Here is a 22,659-nt window from a genome sequence, read left to right on the forward strand (position 1 = left end):
TCAAGGCTGGCTAACTGAACCATCAAAGGAATTTATTGGCAGAATCTTGGGCAATCACAGATCAATTGGGAAGACTGGAGAACCAAGCTCAGAAAATGAGCAGAAGTCATGGGAAACTGGATGCCAAAAACATAACTAATACATTCTGGAGGATTAGTGTGTTCAGACACTGCTATAGTGCATGCCTAACCTTAACATCACCACTGCTTCCAGGAATATTCTTCCCTGTCCTAGTGGTGTTAGTCACTTTCTCCAGACTCAAAGTCCTGTGCGTGATTAGTGAACCTGGCTAATCTATCTGCATCTTAGCCATCAAACAGAAGAAAATGGAAGACAAGATTCTTCTTCCCTTCAAGACTTATACTATAGGAACCCCTTTCCCCAATGAGAAAAACAATTATGCTAGGTAGTCAAGAAATAATATGTTATTATATGGTCAGAATCTTTACTTTCCAGTATTCAAATACATCTGTCTTGGACCCACGCCATTTGTAATATTCTATAGCAGAGAAATTGTTAGGAAGTTGTAGATCATAATTAAATCAGCTACTTCACCAATGAATTGATTTATTAAATACTTTTTAATATTTACTATGAGCCAGACACTGTTGTGAGTCTTGAAGAAATATTAACTGATTCAATATTCACAAAATCTCTGATGTAGGTACAATAATTAACCCTGATTTCACTCATGAAGGAACTGAGATACTGTTATGTAATTTACAAAGGTCACCCTCTAGAAATCACAGAGATGATATTTGACCAGTGCAGTTAGGTTTCACAGTCTATGCTTTTAACTATTATTCTATGCTGCCTCTCCCTGCAAGCCATGGTCTTCCATATGAAAATTCCTTGATACTAACAGCATTTTTATTATTTTAATCCCCAAGTAGGACAGATAACCAACTGAAGATTCATCATTCCATAAAAGCACATTATCTGAAACCCCAATAATTTTTTTTAACCAGGTATAGTCTATAGCAAGCACTATCACTGCTCCATCAAGAAACCGTCTCTGTCTCTAGTCATTTCTGTGCATCCTTCTTTTTCTCCTCTGGAATCTCTGTGCTTTTGCCTATAGCCTGCACCTGCACTTCTCCCTGAGGATTGCCATTGGACTGCTGAAACTGTTTTGTTTAAATAAGCAGACATACAGAAGTGCCCTTGAGATTTATACACCCCTGAAGTGGGCCTTTTTCAATAACTGATTCACACAGAAGTAGGAAGCCCAGCACCATTGCCTTGAAGAGGACAATCTCTAAGGTGTAACTTAAAAACCCTAGAAGAAAACCTAGGCAATACCATTCGGGACATAGGCATGGGCAAGGACTTCATGTCTAAAACACCAAAAGCAGTGGCAACAAAAGCCAAAATTGACAAATGGGATCTAATTAAACTAAAGAGCTTCTGCGCAGCAAAAGAAACTACCATCAGAGTGAACAGGCAACCTACAAAATGGGAGAAAATTTTTGCAATCTACTCATCTGACAAAGGGCTAATATCCAGAATCTACAATGAACTCAAACAAATTTACAAGAAAAAAACAAACAACCCCATCAAAAAGTGGGCGAAGGATATGAACAGACACTTCTCAAAAGAAGACATTTATGCAGCCAAAAGACACATGAAAAAATGCTCATCATCAGTGGCCGTCAGAGAAATGCAAATCAAAACCACAATCAGATACCATCTCACACCAGTTAGAATGGTGATCATTAAAAAGCCAGGAAACAACAGGTGCTGGAGAGGATGTGGAGAAATAAGAACACTTTTACACTGTTGGTGGGACTGTAAACTAGTTCAACCATTGTGGAAGTCAGTGTGGCGATTCCTCAGGGATCTAGAACTAGAAATACCATTTGACCCAGCCATCCCTTTACTGGGTATATACCCAAAGGGCTATAAAACATGCTGCTATAAAGACACATGCACACGTATGTTTATTGTGGCACTATTCACAATAGCAAAGACTTGGAACCAACCCACATGTCTAACAATGATAGACTGGATTAAGAAAATGTGGCACATATACACCATGGAATACTATGCAGCCATAAAAAAGGATGAGTTCATGTCCTTTGTAGGGACATGGATGAAGCCGGAAACCATCATTATCAGCAAACTATCACAAGGACAAAAAACCAAACACCACATGTTCTCACTCATAGGTGGGAATTGAACAATGAGAACACATGGACACACACCGGGGCCTGTTGTGGGGTGGGGGGAGCCGGGAGGGATAGCATTAGGAGATACACCTAATGTTAAATGATGAGTTAATGGGTGTAGCACACCAACATGGCACATGTATATATATATATGTAACAAACCTGCACGTTATGCACATGTACCCTAAAACTTAAAGTATAATAAAAAAATAGAAATAAAAAAATAAAAAATCCAGAGTTCCCCTCAGGAAGCAGGCTAAACTTCCCCTCCTTAAGACTTGGACTGAAATCATGTTCATGCTTGCTGTCTCCTTTCCCTGCTCTACTTGACCCATCTTTTAAATCTTGAGAGCTATTCGTTAATAAATCTCTCACACAGAAACCCTCACCTTCTGGAGAAGCTGACCAATGACGGACCTGGAAAACACAGAGACAGTCACTGATTAACTTAAGTGCAAAAAGGATGCATTGGAGGCACGTTGGACAATTCATGAAAGTACTAGGAAGTTTAAAACTGCTGCAGAAAACTGATAGGGAGCAACGTGTCTGGAATCCAACAACATAAGAAATTTCAAGCTATAAAATATGTAACTCTACAGTTTACACACACTGGCATCACCACTACTAAAATCTTCTCACCACTAGTAACACTACCCCCACGAGTCATTGGCCCTGCCAATAGACTGTTAACCCTGACACTTCTAGTATAAAACTGTGCCTACCCTCTCAGAAAGAATAGGAAATGCCTGCCTGCTCCTCTTTAACAACTGGATCCATACAATGGGAAGAAAACCAAGTATTTGCTACATTCAAACCTTCCTAGGGTTTAATTTTTAAATACTCCAATTTTCTTTTGTAATTTTAATCATTAATTTCACTTTCTAGAATGTTCTTTTTCCCTATTATCTTGCATTCTCTATATATCTAAATCCTACCCATCTTGTATAATATAACTCAAAGGCTAGTTAGAGAACATCACATTGTCCCTGATTTACCCTGTTAAAAATTATCCCTCCATACTTTGGACACTATTTAGTACTTTATCAATATCTTAATATTTACATCCTCTATGAGACTAAGTTCTTTCCGGGCATTTAACATGGCTTAGCAGAATATCTTGACAACAATTGGTATAATAAAATTTGTCTAATAAATTAGAGCAAGAGCTGGGGAAATATTAGGAGAGGGATTTGGTAGACTCAACAGGATTTAGCAGCTGATTAAATCTGGAAGGTGGAAGGAGAAGTTGTTACATTTGTTTTTCAGAATTCAAGCTTCAGTGTTTAAGTACAAGATGATGCCATTAGGATATTGAAAGAAAATAGAAGTAGTAGTCTTGATAACTGGAATTGGAATACATATCAACAATTTAGTTTGGGGCATACTGAGTTTGAAATTCTTAACATACTTTTAGGTTGACAAGTGTAATATAGACTAAAAAATTGAGCCTGAGACTCAAATCAAACATCTAAAATTAAGATTTAAGTGCTTTAAGAATAGAAATAACAATAGAAAGCTCCATAAGTAGATGAGACCACTCAGAAAGATAATTCGCAGAACAAGGAAAGAATATATAGTTGACCCCTAAAAAACCTGGGGGTTGGGGGATGCTGTCCCCACATAGAGTCAAAAATCTGAATATAACTTTTGGCTCCCCTTAAATTTAACTCTTAATGGCATACTATTGACCAGGAGATTTACAAATGGCATAAACAGTTGATTAACACATATTTTGTATCATATTCTTATGATAAAGTAAACCTGAGAAAATAAAATGTTATTAAGAAAATTATAAAAAAAGAAAAAATATATTTACTATTCACTAAGTAGAAGTGGATCATTGTAAAGGTCTTATTCCTCATCTTCTTGTTGAGTAGGCTGAGAAGGAGGAGGAGGAGCTGGTCTTGCTATCTCAAGGGTGGCAGTCGTAAAAAACAATCCGCATAGAACTGAACCAATATAGTTCAAACTCCTGTTGTTTGAGCGTCAGTGATAAAATAGACTAATATCTACATATATTTTATACACCCAGGGAATATCTATTTTTTCTTGGATTTTTTTTTCAGTATTTCTATGTTATATGGTTTATCTGCAAGTTTTTTCAACTTGTCATAAATCTCTACATATTTTTCCAATATATTTATTTCTAAAAATCCACGTAAAAGTGGACCCACACAATTCAAACCTATGTTTTTCAAGGGTCAACTGTATTTTGATAAGAAGCCTCATAAAATGCCAACACTGGGGAAGCAAGACAAAAGGATGACAGGTAGAGGGAAAGCAGAGTAGAATTGAGATTGGGAAACCAGTGCATTTCAGAGATCAAAGAAGGACAACATCCTAGAAGAAACCATCTTTTGTGCTATCTGTGTGGCCCCAATTCATCAACATTTCTTGCATTAATATTCTTTGCTTTGTAACTTCACAGTTCCTGACACAAAAGACAGAATGTGCTTTCCAACTCCTTGACATGGGGTCAGCCATGGAACTTAATTTGGCCGATGAAATATGGACAGAAGTGAGAGTGACCAATTCCAAGGCTAGGCCTTAAGAAGCTTCACATATTTCCACTTGCCCTCTGGGGCTTTTTGCCATTATCATGAGAAGAACATGCCCTGGCCGGCCTACTAGCCCAAGTAAAATAATAGACTCATGAAGCATACTTGGATTTCTTTTGCACATAGAGATGCCCCCAAGCCCAGCCAGGAGCAGCAGAGCAACCTCAGCTGACTCACAAATGTGAATAAAATAAATGTATGTTGTTGTATGCCACTGTCGTATGCCATATGTCATTAAGGAACTTAATGACAAAGGACATTGGTGACTTCAGCAAAATCATTGGCTATGTGCCAGTGGGCCAAAAATCTGCTATCAGTGGCTTGAAGGATAAATTAAAAAGAGTAGAGTCGACGGGAAGCTGGTCATTGAAGGGCTGCAACTAATTGAGATAATAACTTTATGAAGACTAAATATAAGCCCAAAACAGTGCATGTTTCCATATACTTATTTTGAATGCATAACTCAGGGAATGGACCTTCACATATATTAATACATGTTGACATTTAAAGTATTAGTCGTTAATGGAGAAAATTCAGACCACAGAGGGAGCTGATTTTGGTTAAGATCTGTCTTTGACATGTCTGCTTAAATTACGTTGTATAGAAAACATAGTCTTTATTGTGCACTTAGAAATTATCATATAATACAAACTTCCCTTCTGCAGAAGAAAAACTACCAGGATTTCACCTTAGTAATAGCAACTATATAAACTGTAAATAACACATAAGTAGAGGAAACAAGGTGATTCACACAAGTGATAAAAAGAACAGTTAAATATTGGCAATTTGGTTAATTGGCCCATATGCAAATTAATAATGCTTTAAATAAGGAAAACACATCATAGGGCATGCTTGTTCATTTATTTTGACATTTTATAATTTAGTCTAATTATTTGTGAAACTGTAACCCATTCAGCTGGCCTTTGGTATAGTTTGTGAAAAATAATGACTTATGAAAAATAATGACATTTAGTCAAAGAAGCACTTGCTTCCACTTTCTATGGTACATTCAGGCAAGATACTTAGTGCAGTAATTAATTAAAAACTAAAATGTCAAATCTTACCCACATCTCTGTACATTAGCCAAAGATACATATGGACTCAAAACCAGAGAATTCAAAATGGGTTCTTAGTTAAATCCATGCATTTCCAGAGACAAATCTGTGAAATTAATTCTGTGAGCAATGCATATTATGCCTACATATTATGCCTAATTATTAGCCTTGTATATCAAATACACTTTCATTTAGATTAACATGTCTGATTTTACCATTTTGTCAGTTTATTCAAACTTTGTATAATCTTACATTTCAATGTACTGCACATATCTTCATTATTGACACTTTGCCCCTCGAAAATCAAAGAGTAATGATAAAGGGGACTTTAAACTCTATTTTAGCTAATTCATATATTAATACCATACTTTGGAGATGATTATTTTAAGAAGTAATCACAGATTATTTTTTCTTAAATTGTGCTTGTTTCATTTTTGAGTAATTTACTTCATATGAAATAATTCCTAGTTTTGTCAAGGCTGCAAATGTATTTTGCTCACAGCAAATTATGGAGACCACATACAAGTGCAACCTAGCAACATTTCCTCCAATTTGGTTTTCTAAGTAAACAAAGCCTGCAGCACAGTCTTTCCTTAATGAGGGACGAATCTGAGTCTTTTCTGATAAATTAAAGGGCTGCATTTATTAAACAAAGATGATGTTATTGATTCAAAGGGCATGCTCTCTAAGCAGTTTTTTTTTAATTGTTGTGCTGATCCATCTACGTTTTACATTTTACTTCCCATTTTAGCAATACACATTTTATAAAATGCCCAGCGAAGCTTAGAGGCTTATTAGAGGCATAGCATGATACAGTACTCACTGGCCAATGAATAGTGGACCTCATGACCTTGGCATTATTAATGGCAAGTTGGGCTAACTGCCTGATAGGCACATTAATTCCAGTGTCAACATGAAGGAGAATTTCCGTCTGAAGTAATATAAATTATATATGTACAACTAAAAGGAGAGACTAGCAATATAAATACTTGGAAGTAAATTTTTTAAGTTAAAAAGAAAATATATTTTTTCATCTTCTTTCTATCCGTGCAAATAAATTTTTTTAAGAAAATTAATGACATTAATCTGCACTTGCAAAAACAGCAGCCCATGAGACATTCATTTTGAGGGTTGCAGTCCTCTTTAATTGCATGAGCAACATTAACTCATAGGATAGAAAGGTGCCATCGAATCTTGTTCATTTTCCTTGCATAAGATGTACTTCTAACTTAATAGAAATTCTGCTAGGAATACCTAGCAGATTGAACATGAAACACTTCCTTAGTAAGATAATAAAATGTTATTTTACAAAGATTATCTCCTGTCATTTCTGTAGATGTTCCCAGTCCACTTGAAAATACTTTGAATTTTGTCATTATTGAATGTAGTGCACACAATATGAGAATTAGGCCAGCTTTGTTAATTGTGTTGTTCATATTTTCTACATCTTTACTGATTTGTTTTAGCTGGAGGTATTATCAACTCTTGAAGTTTTGTGAAGGGTAACTTTATATGTAGTTTGAAACTATGTATTGATTGCACAGAGATTTAGAAAGGTCATATTTTCCCGTTGATTTACTCCTTCGTCACTATGAAATGTCATTCTTCATCTTCAGCAATGCTTTTAACTTAAAATCATCTTGGATATTAATAAAGCAACATATATTTTTGCTTTATATCCACATGATGTATCTTTTATTCCATCTTTTGGATTTCAGTCTCTCTATTTTCTTGTATTATGGTGTTCCTCTTAAGAGCAACATATACTTGAGGGTTTTTTTCTCAACCAATCTAATCTTATCCTTTTCTAGAAATATTTTGTGCACTTTCATTGAATGAAATTTAAGATATATTTACTGTCATATCTGCCATTTAATTACTTGTTTTCTCTTTGACCAACCTGCTTTAAGCTCTCATTATCTTCTTTCTTGTTTTCTTTTACAGTTTTAACCATTCTATTTTTACCCCTAATAATTTGTTAATTATAGCTTCTTTTCCTATTCTTTAATGGGTACTATAGATTATAATATTCATTCTTGAATCATTAAAATCTAATATAAATTATTACTTTTAGTCCTTCCTTTACAATAAAACTTTCTTTCCACATATGTCCTTCACTTTTGCACTATTGTTTTCATGCATTTTAACCATATATATATATATATATATATATATATATATATATATATACGCAACTGCGTAAATTATTATTCTTATTATCTAAGTTAGTCAATATTCATCTACATGAATTTCTCCTTTGAAAGTCAGTCTTTCCTATAATTACATATTCTAGGATCATTTTCTTTCTACATAAAATTTCTCTCTACTTTTTTAGTGAAGTTTTGCTGCCAAAATATTGTTTCTGTCTAAAAATTCTTTAATTCAGCTGTATTTTATTTGTTTGTTTGTTTTTATTTAGTTTTGTTTTATTTTGTTTTTGAGACAGAGTCTCACTCTGTTGCCGTGACTGAATTGCAGCGGTGGGAACACAGTTCACTGCAGCCTCAACCTCCTGGTCTCAAGCCATCCTGCTCTTAAACCCTCTATTAAACTCTTTATTTTAGATATTTCAATTTTCAGATCTAGAATTCATATGTAAATCTTTTTTATAGATGCTATTTCTTTTCTTTTCTTTTTTTTTTTCTTTTTTTTGAGTCAGGGTCTGTCACCCAGACTGGAGTGCAATGGCGCAATCTCAGATCAGTGCAACCTCTGCCTCCTGGGTTCAAGCAATTCTCGTAACTTAGCCTCCAGAGTAGCTAGGATTACAGGGCATGTGCCACCATGCCTGGCTCATGTTTTTGCATTTTTAGTAGAGACGGGGTTTTACCATGTTGGACAGGCTGGTCTCGAACTCCTGACCTCAAGTGATCCACCCACCTCGGCTTCCCAAAGTGCTGGGATTATAGGCGTGAGCTACCACGCCCGACCTATAGATGCTATATCTCTGGGTGAAATTCTCCATCTTGTCATCTACTTTTCTATGTCTTTGTTTATTTCCTTTGATCTATTAATTATAATTATTTTAACGTATTTTTATTAACTCCAACATTTGGACTGTGTCTTTTTTTAATTGTTTTTCTTTTGGATGTTGGCGTCTCTGATTATTTTTTAATTAAATACTGGATATTATGTATTTTAAAATTTGTAGTGTTATATTTCTCTAGGAATGGCTTACTTCTCACTTTGCTGGACAGACAGAGTAGTGGCTGATGATTAAAATCCAATCAGGGTCTGAGCTGAGTTGAGGTAAGATAGTAATTTGCATAAGGTTCTAGTACTTCTGGTTTGCACTTACTCCTAAAGCGAAGACCTCCAGGACTTTTAATCAAAAACCTGGTATATTCATTGGGGATTCTCTGGTAAGTTTCAAACTCTAATTTTAAGGACAGGACAATGAGACAGCAGAAATCTCTGATCTCCTTTTAAAAATGTTTCTGCTTACATTTTCAGTTCCTCACCTTGAACAACTTCAGAATGGGGTAAATAATTTGAGGGGGAAACTGGCTGTGTGCCAGGTTAAGTTCTCCACTCATCCTTTCTCACTGAAATCTTGGCACCTTATGTATTACCAACTTTGTCTACTCCGTTGCTAGAGGGTACTAAAAGTTCTACTCATATTCCTGTTCCCCAGAAGTTGCATTCTGTCCAGGCGAAGCCTGAATTCTCCAACTGATACTCTAAACCTAGGATTAACAAATAACTCCAGACAAATGGAGAAAGTTGACACATCTCACCTCCATTCTCCGCTTTCCAAAATCTTGACCTTTTAGTTCTTACTTTAGCAGCTTTCTCGTGCCTTCACATAAGTGATTTTAAAATTTTTAATTGAATTTTCTAGTTGCTCTCACAATAAGTTTTGTTTATAAGTAGGTACTTCATCCTATTCAAAAAAAGAAAACTTTTTTGTCTTCATTTTCCATTTCTGAAATTATCTTTCCAGTCAAATGGAAAACTTACACAGGTTTGCTTATTGTCTGTTTGTTTGTTTCTGCAACTAGATTTTTTTGTTATTAATATTTAAATGTATAAGGATAAAGATATTTAATTATTTGAAACTACTAGAAGTGGAGCTATACTGAATATCAATATTACATATTTGACTTATAAGTCTGCTTTTGCAAGCATACTTATGAAATGCTTTCAATAAATAAAAGCAACTAGATGAGTTCCTAAACTGTCATTTATTCTGATGAAGTACTAAGCCATGCTGATTTTTGTACAATCAACTATTTTGGGAATAGAACTTAAAAATGATCCAGCAACACTCTGCTAAATTTACCTTCAACCTAAATGTAAAGGTTTACATTTAGCTGAAAAGTGCCATGTTTTCTAACTTGGGATTATTATAATTCGTTCAGTTATTTAGGACTTTGTTTCATGTTCTATGCATTCAAAGAAACCTGTTTAGGCTAGGTACAGTTTCAGCTCAAAAGAAACACGCCATTACCTTAGAAAAGTAACATATAACTTCTGTGCTCTGTGCACCAAAATCAATAACTTTGTAATGAGGTATTAAGTCTCCCTACATATGAAGATGACAGAATTCTAAATATTACATTCTTTGGTTTTATTTTCTTTGAAAATTAACAAAATGGACTTTTTTGCAAAATAAGCAGTCACCTAATAATTTATTTCAGATTTAGCTTTACAAAGAGCTCATGTGTTACACATTAGCTTCTTAACATTTAAAATAAGTTATTCTCATTTGCTTTCTCATCTACTAGTTTCAGATTGGAATATATCTGCATTTGTAAAACTGCATATAAATCAGTATGTTTCACAGGGAAGAGCAGGAAAGACAATGAAAACAAATAACTTCTTTTTTTTTTTTATTAGACTTTAAGTTCTGGGATACATGTGCAGAATGTGCAGGTATGTTACATAGGTATACATGTGCCATGGTGGTTTGCTGCACCAAACAACCTGTCATCTACATTAAGTATATCTCATAATGCTATCCCTCCCCTAGTCCCCCACCCCCAACAAGCCCCTATGTGTGATGTTCCCCTCCCTGTGTCCATGTATTCTCATTGTTCAACTCCCACTTATGAGTGAGACCATGCAGTGTCTAGTTTTCAGTTCCTGTGTTAGTCTGATGAGAATGATGGTTTCTAGCTTCATCCATGTCTCTGCAAAGGACATGAGCTCATCCTTTTCTATGGCTGCATAGTATTCCATGGTTAATATGTGCCACCTTTTCTTAATCTAGTCTATCATTGATGGACATTTGGGTTGCTTCCACGTCTTTGCTATTGTGAACAGTGCTGCAGAAAACATATATGTGCATGTGTCTTTACAGTAGAATGATTTATAATCCTTTGGGTATATAGCCAGTAATGGGATTGCTGGGTCAAATGGTATTTCTGGTTCTAGATCCTTGAGGGATCACCACATCGTCTTCCACAAAGGCTGAACTAATTTATACTCCCACCAACAGTGTAAAAGCGTTCCTATTTTTCCACATCCTCTCCAGCATCTGTATTTTCCTTACATTTTATTTATCATCATTATAACTGGCATGAGATGGTATCTCATTGTGGTTTTGATTTGCATTTCTCTAATGACCAGTGATGAAGAGCTTTTTTTCATGTTTGTTGGGCACATAAATGTCTTCTTTTGAGAAGTGTCTGTTCATATCCTTCGACGATTTTTTGATGGGATTGTTTGTTTTATTCTTGTAAATTTGTTTAAGTTCTTTGTAGATTCTGGATATTAGCCCTTTGTCAGATGGATAGATTGCAAAAATTTTCTCTCATTCTGTAGGTTGCCTGTTCACTCTGATGATAGTTTCTTTTGCTGTGCAGAACCTCTTTAGTTTAATTAGATCCTATTTGTCAATTTTGGCTTTTGTCGTCATTGCTTTTTGTGCTTTAGTCATAAAGTCTTTGCCCATACCTATGTCCTCAATGGTATTGCCTAGGATTGCTTCTAGGGTTTTTATGGTTTTAAGTCTTACATTTAAGTCTTTAACCCATCTTGATTTGATTTTTGTATAAGGCGTAAGGAAGGGGTCCAGTTTCAGTTTTCTGCCTATGGCTAGCCAGCTTTCCCAAAACCATTTATTAAATAGGGAATCCTTTCCCCATTGCTTGTTTTTGTCAGGGTTGTCAAAGTTCAGATGGTTGTAGATGTGTGGAATTATTTCTGAGGGCTCTGTTCTGTTCCATTGATCTTTATATCTGTTTTGGTACCAGTACCATGCTGTTTGGGTTACTGTAGACTTGTAGTATAATTTGAAGTCAGACAGTGTGATGCCTCCAGCTTTGTTCTTTTTGCTTAGGATTGTCTAGGCTATACAGGCTCTTTTTTGGTTCCATATGAACTTTAAAGTAGTTTTTTCTAATTCTGTGAAGAAAGTCAATGGTAGCTTGGTGGGTATAGCATTGAATCTATAAATTACTTTGCACAGTATGGCCATTTTCACGATATTCATTCTTCCTATCCATGAACATGGAATGCTTTTTCCATTTGTGTCCTCTCTTATTTCCTTGAGCAGTGGTTTGTAGTTCTCCTTGAAGAGGTCCTTCACATCCTTTGTAAGTTGTATTTCTAGGTATTTTATGCTCTTTGTAGCAATTGTGAATGGGAGTTCACTCATGATTTGGCTCTCTTTTGTCTATTATTGGTGTATAGGAATGCTTGTGATTTTTGCACATTGATTTTGTATCCTGAGACTTTGCTAAAGTTGCTTATTAGCTTAAGGAGTTTTGTGGCTGAGACAATGGAGTTTTCTAAATATACAATCATATCATCTGCAAACAGAGACAATTTGACTTCCTCTCTTCCTATTTGAATACCCTTTATTTCTTTCTCTTGCCTGATTGCCCTGGCCAGAACTTCCAGTACTATGTTGAATAGGAATGGTGAGAGAGGGCATCCTTGTCTTGTGCCAGTTTTCAAAGGGAATGCTTCCAGCTTTTGCCCATTCAGTATGATATTGGCTGTGGGTTTGTCATAAATAGGTCTTATCATTTTGACCTACAGTCTGTCAATACCTAGTTTATTCAGAAGGTGGTAATGACAAACGCCTCCAAGCTAAAGGAGCATGTTCTACCCCAATGCAAGGAAGCTAAGAACCTTGTAAAAAACAGTTAGAGGGAATTTCTAACTAGAACAAATAGTTTAGAGAAGAGCATAAATGACCCGATGGAGCTGAAAAACACAGCATGAGAACTTCATGAAGCATACATAAGTATCAACAGACGAGTCGATCAAGCAGGAGAAAGAATATCAGAGATTGAAGATCAACTTAATGAAATAAAGCATGAAGACAAGATTAGAGAAAAAAAAGAATGAAAAGGAACAAACAAAGCCCCCCAAAAATATGGGACTATGTGAAAAGACCAAACCTATGTTTGATTGGTGTACGTGAAAGTGATGGGGAGACTGGAACCAAGTCGGAAAAGCCTCTTCAGGATATTATCCAGGAGAACTTCCCCAACCTAGCAAGACAGGCCAACATTCAAATCCAGGAAATGCAGAGAACACCACAAAGATACTCCTCGAGAAGAGCAACCCCAAGACACATAATCGTCAAATTCACTGAGGATGAAATGAGGGAAAAAATGTTAAGGGCAGCCACAGGGAAAGGTCGGGTTACCCACAAAGGGAAGTCCATCAGACTAACAGTGAATCTCTCTGCGGAAACCCTACAAGCCAGAAGAGAGTGGGGGCCAATATTCAACATTCTTAAAGAAAAGAATTTTCAACCCAGAATTTCATATCCAGCCAAACTAAGCTTCATAAGCAAAGGAGAAATAAAATTCTTTACAGACAAGCAAATGCTGACAGATTTTGTCACCACCAGGCCTGCCTTACAAGAGCTCCTGAAGGAATCACTAAATATAGAAAGGAAAATCCTGTACCAGCCACTGCAAAAACTTACCAAATTGTAAAGACCATGGACACTATGAAGAAACTGCATCAATAACAGGTGAAATAACCAGATAGCATCATAATGACAGGATCAAATTCACATGTAACAATATTAACCTTAAATGTAAACTGGCTAACTGCCCCAATTAAAAGACACAGACTGGCAAATTGGATAAAGAGTCAAAACCCATTGGTATGCTCTATTCAGGAGATCCATCTCACATTCAAAGACACACATATGCTCAAAATAAAAGGATGGAGGAATATTTACCAAGAAAATGGAAAGAAAAAAAAGGCAGGGGTTGCAATCCTAGTCTCTGCTAAAACGGACTTTAATCCAACAAAGATCAAAAAAGACAAAGAAGGGCATTATATAATGGTAAAGGGATCAATGCAACACAAAGAGCTAACTATCCTAAATATATATGCACCCAATACAGGAGCACCCAGATTCATAAAGCAAGTTCTTAGAAACCTACAAAGAGACTTAGACTCCCACACAATAATAGTGGGAGACTTTAACACCCCACTGTCAATATTAGACAGATCAACAAGACAGAAAATTAACAAGGATATCCAGGACTTGAACTCACCTCTGGATCAAGCAGACCTAATTGACATCTACAGAATTCTCCACTCCAAATAAACAGAATATACATTCTTCTCAGCACCACATTGCACTTATTATAAAATTCACCACATAATTGGAAGTAAAACATTCCTCAGCAAATGCAAAGGAATGGAAATAATAACAAACAGTCTCTCAGACCACAGTGCAATCAAATTAGAAATCTGGATTAAGAAACTCACCAAAAACTGCACAACCACATGGAAACTGAACAACTTGCTCCTGAATGACTACTGGGTAAATAACAAAATTAAGGCAGAAATAAATAAGTTCTTTGAAACCAATGAGAACAAGGACACAATGCACCAGAATCTCTGGGACACAGCTAAAGCAGTGTGTAGAGGGAAATTTATAGCACAAAATGCCCACAGGCGAAAGCAGGAAAGATCTAAAATCAACACTCTAACATCACAATTAAAAGAACTAGAGAAGCAAGAGCAAACAAATTCAAAAGCTAGCAGAAGACAATAAATAACTAAGATGAGAGCAGAACTGAAGGATATAGAGACACAAAAACCTTTCAAAAAAATCAATGAATCCAGGAGCTGGTTTCTTGAAAAGATCAACAAAATTGATAGACAGCTAGCCAGACTAATAAAGAAGAAAAGAGAGAAGAATCAAATAGACACAGTAAAAAATAATGAAAGGGGTATCACCACTGATCCCACAGACATACAAACTACAATCAGAGAATAATATAAACACCTCTATCCAGATAAACTAGAAAATCTAGACGAAATGGATAAATTCCTGGACACATACACCCTACCAAGACTAAACCAGGAAGAAGTCGAATCCCTGAATAGACCAATAAGTTCTGAAATTGAGGCAGTAATTAATAGCCTCCTAACCAAAAAAAGCCCAGGACCAGACGGATTCACAGCCGAATTCTACCAGAGGTACAAAGAGGAGCTGGTACCATTCCTTCTGAAAATATTCCAGACAATAGAAAAAGAGGGACTCCTCCCTAACCCATTTTATGAGGCTAGCATCATCCTGATACTAAATCCTGGCAGAGACACAACAGTAAAAGAAAATTTCAGGCCAATATCCTTGATGAACATCGATGGGAAAGTCCTCAGTAAAATACTGGCAAACCAAATCCAGCAGCACATCAAAAAGCTTTTCCACCACAGTCAAGTTGGCTTCATCCCTGGGATTCAAGGCTGGTTCACCATATGCAAATCAATAAACGTAATCCATCACATAAACATAACCAATGACAAAATCACATGATTATCTCAATAGATGCAGAAAAGGCCTTCAATAAAATTCAACACCCCTTCATGCTGAAAACTCTCCAAAAAACGACTTCTTATATATACGTAAGCCTACTTTTCCAGTACAGCTTACAGATTGACATATTCTACCATATATACCAAACAGACAGAAGCTTTCATGTGACCCTTATGAGTCACAATAACATGTTTAATTAACAAGTATGTCAAAAACCATCATTTCTTCTCAGAGAAGCCTTGTGTGAGTTTTCATATGAAAATAATTATCTTAATAGTGATTATTTTATTATCAGATTCAATATTAAAGAAAATAATTAACCAACCTTTAGTTCCATCATTTTTACTAGGTTCAGGAATAGATATGTTGCAAAATGTCAAAAGTAGAAAATGATGAACTCCAGAAAAAATTGATATGACATATCAAGACCAAATAACCATAGAGATATTTTCCAAGGGAATGGGTAAAACTGTTCTATGACCCTTGAATCACTTTATGCACTTTAAGAATATACAGAGTGAAAGATAGAGACAGGAGGAGTAAGAGATAGAGATAGGGCTTTGTGGGGTATACGAATAAAGAGATGTATTTGGACTGAACTCTTTCCCCACTAGGAGTCCATACTTTCACACTCTGCAGAGAAGGAGAGGTATAGCAGGTGGCAATGAGGATATGTCTCCCAGACCTCCAACCATAGGAAGTGTAATTGGCCAAGACTCCCAATAGCTGTGCTGTGTTTGTATATATGAAGGCTACAATTCTCATGAGCTGCTCCCAATCAGTGACTTAATGAGGCAAGGATGTTATTAAAACCCCATTTTTTTAGGAGACACAGGACTTCTCTCAAAGCAATGGCTTTAGGACTCCATCATGGCTTTGCCAAATCTCCATCTGACTACATGGCAGTCTATGACCATTATATCCAATCTTCTCTCCCACTCTCCTTCTCCCAAGGTCAGTCTGGCATCATGTCTGAAGATTTTCCCAGACTTCCTGGCCCTCCCCATTTCTTCTACACAGGTTTTGACCTAATAAGATACCATTCTTGGAGTATCTCAGAGGAACTGGACAAACACAGGAGGCCAACTTCTAACTATAGACCTAGTAAGATGTTCAAAAGGACCACTGGGAAAACTAGGCAATATGTTCCCTGTGATTGAAGGACCTAAAATATTGGATTTGGTTCATATCTGTAAAAGCTAGAGTGTACCGTGGCCTGTGGTCTCATTTTAATAAGATACTGTGATAAAAAAAAAAAAAAAAGTGTGGGTTAGCTGACAGAACCTGGAGAGTATTGCTGCAGTGAGGTCTCCTTGCAATTCCAAATTTAGCCACTAAATGACAGCATGTTTCTCTTGGAACAGATGTATACCACTCTGTAGAGAGCTGGCATGTGATCATCTCGGGTCCTATAAAATTGACTCACCAAGAGAGACTAAAGATCTCATCAAAAAGAAGATAGAGCTGTACTGTTGATCCTCAGAGGCCAAAACATGGGAAAAGGAACTGCTGCAGGGAATAGTCTAGCTTCATCAAAAGCACTGGAGCAGTGGGAGGCCCAGCAGGAACCTCTGAAGAGTCTGTGAAAGGAAGGTATACCAAAAATGAAAGCAGCACTTAAAACATCTGTGGCCAGCTCAGCAAGAGTAGTTATATTTCGTTACCTGTTGTTCTAGCCTCTCTTCTCTCCAGAAACCTGGAGAAATAACATCAGTATGGAGTGGGAGAAGAAGTGAGCTAACAAAAATGTATAGAACTGTCAAATCGTAGTTGCTTTATCTTACTGGAGGCTTCCAGGTGGAAATAAGAGAGGAGAGGGCAAATTGAAATTTACATTGTTATTATAGGTTGCATATGCTATTTGGTGAGTTGAATAACTATGTTCAAACAACTCAAGTAATTCAAAGACTATTAGCTAAGCATAAGCAGAAAATCCATGGAAAAACTGTAGAGCTTTTATAAAAAGGTATGGGACATTTTCTTCCAATTAAAAATTTCATGTCATGACTCAGGTTTATTCAACCTACTGGTCACATATATTAATCTTCATGGAAGGTTAGTAGAAATATAATAAATCTATGGTTCTTAATTTATAGATTATTGACATAAAAAACATATTTTAAGCCACTTACAAGTAATTATCTCCGGTAATTTACTAATATTATTTACATAGATTAGGAAACTATAAATTCACCATTGATACTATTGCCATGAAAATACTTTAAATTACCCATATGTAGTACATGTAAGTATACTTTTAAGTATATTCAATTTGCTATTATAAACTGCTGCCAAATAGGCATGATCAAAAACATTAAAACTTTATTTTATAATAGTTCTACATTTTACTATCAAAAGAAAGCAAAATAATATAAATAATCCACAGTAAGATCATTATAAAAAGGGGGATATCTCTGTTGTTTACCATAAAATGAAATAACAACATTGAAAGATTTTCTCTTGACTATTTAGCAAAAGATATGAATTATAGGCACTTTGAGCACATCTTTTTCTGAACAATTGTATATCTATAAACCAAAATGCAGACAATGAATGAATACAAACTGGATCTTACTGAACAGCAAGAATCCAAGAGATGAAAAACAAACCAAAAAAAAGGCCAAAAAAAAAAAACACTAATGATACTACATTTGCTATTAGGAGCTTTTCGCATTTGGATAACAATGGCATGATTTCCATCAACAAATTAAAGCTTTTTGCTAATTTTTTATGACCTCAATCCACTAATATTGTTTTGACTCTTCATTTTCAATTTTTACCAAATCAAGATGCTGAGGCTAACAATGAGGCTTCAACTTTTTGCCTGGAAAGCTAACATAATCTTCTAATTAATAATTTATTACAAAACAAAATGTTTTATGGTTTTCAAGCAAAACTAAACATTTAAACTATGGAAAAACTGTGCCTCCTCCTTAAATACTTTGAATTTTTTAAGAATAATGACTCTTCATGTGTAGATTTTCACTACATCAGCTTAATAATTTTACTTTGTTTACATTATAATATAGTGGTAAGTCACTGAGTATTGTTATATTTGAGCATGTATAAATATATATATATATATACATACATATATATTTTTTTTTTCTTTTTTTTTTGAGACAGAGTCTCACGCTGTCACCCAGGCTGGAGTGCAGTGGCACGATCTCAGCTCACTGCAAGCTCCGCCTCCCGGGTTCACGCCATTCTCCTGCCTCAGCCTCCCGAGTAGCTGGGACTACAGGCGCCTGCCACCATGCCCGGCTAATTTTTTGTATTTTTAGTAGAGACGGGGTTTCACTGTGTTAGCCAGGATGGTCTCGATCTCCTGACCTTGTGATCCGCCCGCCTTGGCCTCCCAAAGTGCTGGGATTACAGGCGTGAGCCACTGCGCCCGGCCGCATGTATATTTCTAAGGATAGCTATATTTAAGGATGGTGCACATATTAAAGAAAAATTCATTTAAAAACCACTACAGATAAATCTAGATTTTTAAAGTTCTCCCCATCTATATAAGTAAAATATTATGTTGAAATATGGTTAACGGGCCATTTAAATCTGGCTAATACCCATTGTGGATGAATTTTAATGTTCTGACTTCTGGTGACATATACTGAATAATAGGCCAATACATGGTTGCCCTCATCTGATTTCCAAACTTTAATTAAGGCCTCCTTTAGGAGGCTGACCCAGGAGGATCACTTGAGGGCAGAAGTTTGTGACCAGCCTGGGCAAAATAGCAAGACCCTGTCTCTACAAAAATAAATAATAAAAAGAGAAATATCACCAACACTGATCTATTTGTATATGGGAAAAGCCTGGGGTAAAAGAGGGTCATAGAAAATAGAAACCATTGGCCGGGCACAGTGGCTCACATCTGTAATCCCAGCACTTAGGAGGCTGAGGCAGGTGGATCACTTGAGGTCAGGAGTTCAAGACCAGCCTGGCTCAAAATGGAGAAACCCCATCTCTGCTAAAAATACATAAATTAGCCAGATGTGTTGGGGCGCATCTGTAGGCTCAGCTACTCGGGATGCTGAGGCAGGAAAATCACTTGAACCTGGGAGGCGGAGGTTGCAGTGAGCCAGGATTGCACCACTGCACTCCAGCCTGGGACGACAGAGGAAGACTCTGTCTCAAAAAAAATAAAAAAGAGAAAGAAAAAGAAAATAGAAACCATTTACTTCATTTTTCCCTCATCCCATTGATCTAAAATGTTAGATCTTTCAGTTTAGCTAGTGATCTGAGTGTTCATCTACCTCATCAAAGCAGTTGTCAATTTCTAAAAGAAAAAAATTGTAATCCCAGATTTTATGCCCTGGTAAAGTAAGAGAAACATATGATGCATGCACACAAGTCATTATAAGAAAATTATTAAAACAAAAATTTTTCTAAATAGCTAAGACAGATAATATAGTAAAGCAAAATGTAAGCATTACGACTACCAAAATAAAGATTAACTGAAGGTAACAATAATTTAACTAAAAAGGACTGGGTCAGAACCCTAAAACATACTAGCAAAAATGATAGACATCTAAATAATGAAAAACTTAAGTCCACTAATTTCTACATTTATGAAAATTCAATAAATATGGTTTATATTATACAACTGATAACTTCTATTTTCAATTTTGGAACTTACATTTACCTTAAATATTTAGATTTAACTTTATATTTACATGGATAGCTTCAATGTTCTCCATTTTTAAGCCTTTAATTCTAATTTTTTATAATTAATGGAATATTTTAAGATTTGTTTTTGATTAGTTGGATTTCATTTGCAAATATATTTCCCAAGATTTACTGTTTATTTCCCTTTTTATTGCTTTCCCCATGATGCATGTATTTCCCTTCATCCATGCATTACATTTGCTTGAATATGTATGTAACTTTTACCCTTCTCTTTTTAACTCCATTGACATGGCAATTTTATATTCTGACATTTAAATTTTACCAAGTCTAAAGACGACTTGATTTTTTATTTTCTACAGGTTCTTTGCTTCTACCAATAGCAATCACTCTGCGTAGCCTTGCAAAGATACTGTTTTTTAATTAATATAAATGGTAGCACACTATAAATATATTTCTGAACTTTGCTTTATTTAAAAAATAAGAGTTCTAGTCAGCAAATGTGACACCTCCTGTTTGTCTACAATTTTACCACCACAGTGTTTTCAACCTATTTATCTTTGCCAATTAACAATTGGAAAATGGAATTTTATTATAGTTTTAATTTGTATTTTATTTCTCTGATTATACGTGGGGTATCTTGTAGTGTATTTAAATGACTTCTCTGCTGTTTTCTCTGAAATATTTGCCATATAATTTGCCCATTTTCTGACAGGTTATCAGTTTATTTTTTTCTTTCTTTCCTTCTTTCCTTCTTTCCTTCCTTCCTTCCTTCCTTTCTTTTCTTTCTTTCTCTCGACAGAGTTTCACCATGTTGGCCAGGCTGGTCTCAAACTCCTGACTTGGTCAGATGATCCACCTGCCTCGGCTTCCCAAAGTGCTGGGATTACAGGTGTGAGCCACCACGCCCGGCCTTATTCTTATTTTTTACTAACATTTTATATGTTAACAAAAGGAAGCTGTTTTTATGTTAAAAGTTCCAAATATTTTTCCTAGGATTTAAATGTTTGCCTTTTCAGGTGTCTCGATATCATTTATTGAATAACTTCTTTTTCCCTCAATGATTACCTTGCCACTTCTGTCATGTGTCAAATCTTAATTAATTCATATAGACCCTAATAGTCTCCTCAAGGAAACTGTTTCTATGTTCATATACCAGTGTTTACTGTTAAAATGACTAATTTTATGGAATGTTTTAACACTAGTTTGATTTGTAATTTTTATTTTTTTCAAGAATGTTCCCCAAATTTTCTTCATTTTTTTACCTTTCACAATAAGTTATTGGGATTGTATTAAATGTCTAGACTGACTCAGAGAAAATTTTGTACTTTCCTGGCTTGGTCTTCTTTTCCAAAAACAAAGTATGCTTTTTCATATATTTAAATTTCCTTTTGTGTCCTCAGAAGTATTTTAAGGTTTTACTGACATATATGCCTACTTTGTTCTATGTTTAATATACTTTTAAGTATGTGATCTTTTTTGTTACTATTATGAATGGAAGCTGATTTTCAATTTTTATTTTATATTCTTGCTGTATGTTTCACCTTCCATCCCCCAGATTTGTACCTTAAGTTATTTCCAAAAATATATAGGCAGACAGATAGATACAGAGATGGAGATATTAGTTCATCTTTTAATTTCTTTCTATTTCCATGTTCTCTTCTTGATAAAAACCAGTAATTTGTATGTTGTCTTTTAATTGTTTAGACCCCAAATCACACAGTAATTTTTATACCTATAAATTGTCCACTATGTTAACAGTATTTTTCTCAAGTCTTTCCTCTATTGATTTGTGTGACTATTTATGATATTATTATAAGTATCACAGTTATTTTTTCAAAATTTTATTTCATAGATCTGTAAATTATCTCAATATTTTCTCATTCTGCTTAATTACCTTGAGAGTGAACTGTATCTAAAATCAATTTTATTCCAATGTGTGCTAGTTATCTGTCTTCTGAAGACATAATTAACTTATCATTTATTTTAATACAAACTACTTAAATCTAATTAGTTTGTATGTTTGGTTTTGTTATCACTATTGCTTGTTTACTTTTAAATACATTCTCTCTAAGCCTTCTATTTTCTCTACAAACATCATAGTAGATTCTCCTTGGCTCCTCTTTCTGTTTATCATAACATTCTCTGAATGTTCTGCTTAAAACATGAGCTTGGATATTAAATATTGACTTTTACATTAGTTAGTCATTAACCTTTTGAAGTACTAGGGAGGAAATTAGAAACGCGGGCTGTCTTCGTCAAGAAGTATCATTCCTGTGAGGTTTCTCTCTGAATAAGTTCCACTGTCACTTTTGTGGTTGTGTCAGTAGATTGGTGGTGTAAATTGTCCCATTGGTTGATGACATTTTTTTAAGGGTCATTTGGCTAATTTGATGAGAGGATGAGTTAGTGAGAAATTCTGTGATTGTCAGGCTTTGTGTTTGGTGTGAACACCCAGCTGCCTTTTGTCACCATTCATCTGCAATGGCCCCTAGGAAATTTTTCCG

General features: G+C 35.4%; 1 long non-coding RNA gene across 1 annotated transcript in view; it reads right to left on the reverse strand.

The window, feature by feature from the left end:
• LINC01950 (long intergenic non-protein coding RNA 1950) overlaps positions 1-22,659 on the reverse strand; it is a 195,818-nt gene that overhangs the window by 11,915 nt on the left and 161,244 nt on the right. The gene's annotated exons all lie outside the window — the stretch shown is intronic.

Source organism: Homo sapiens, chromosome 5 (genome assembly GCF_000001405.40).
Source record: "Homo sapiens chromosome 5, GRCh38.p14 Primary Assembly".
Classification (NCBI taxonomy): domain Eukaryota; kingdom Metazoa; phylum Chordata; class Mammalia; order Primates; family Hominidae; genus Homo; species Homo sapiens.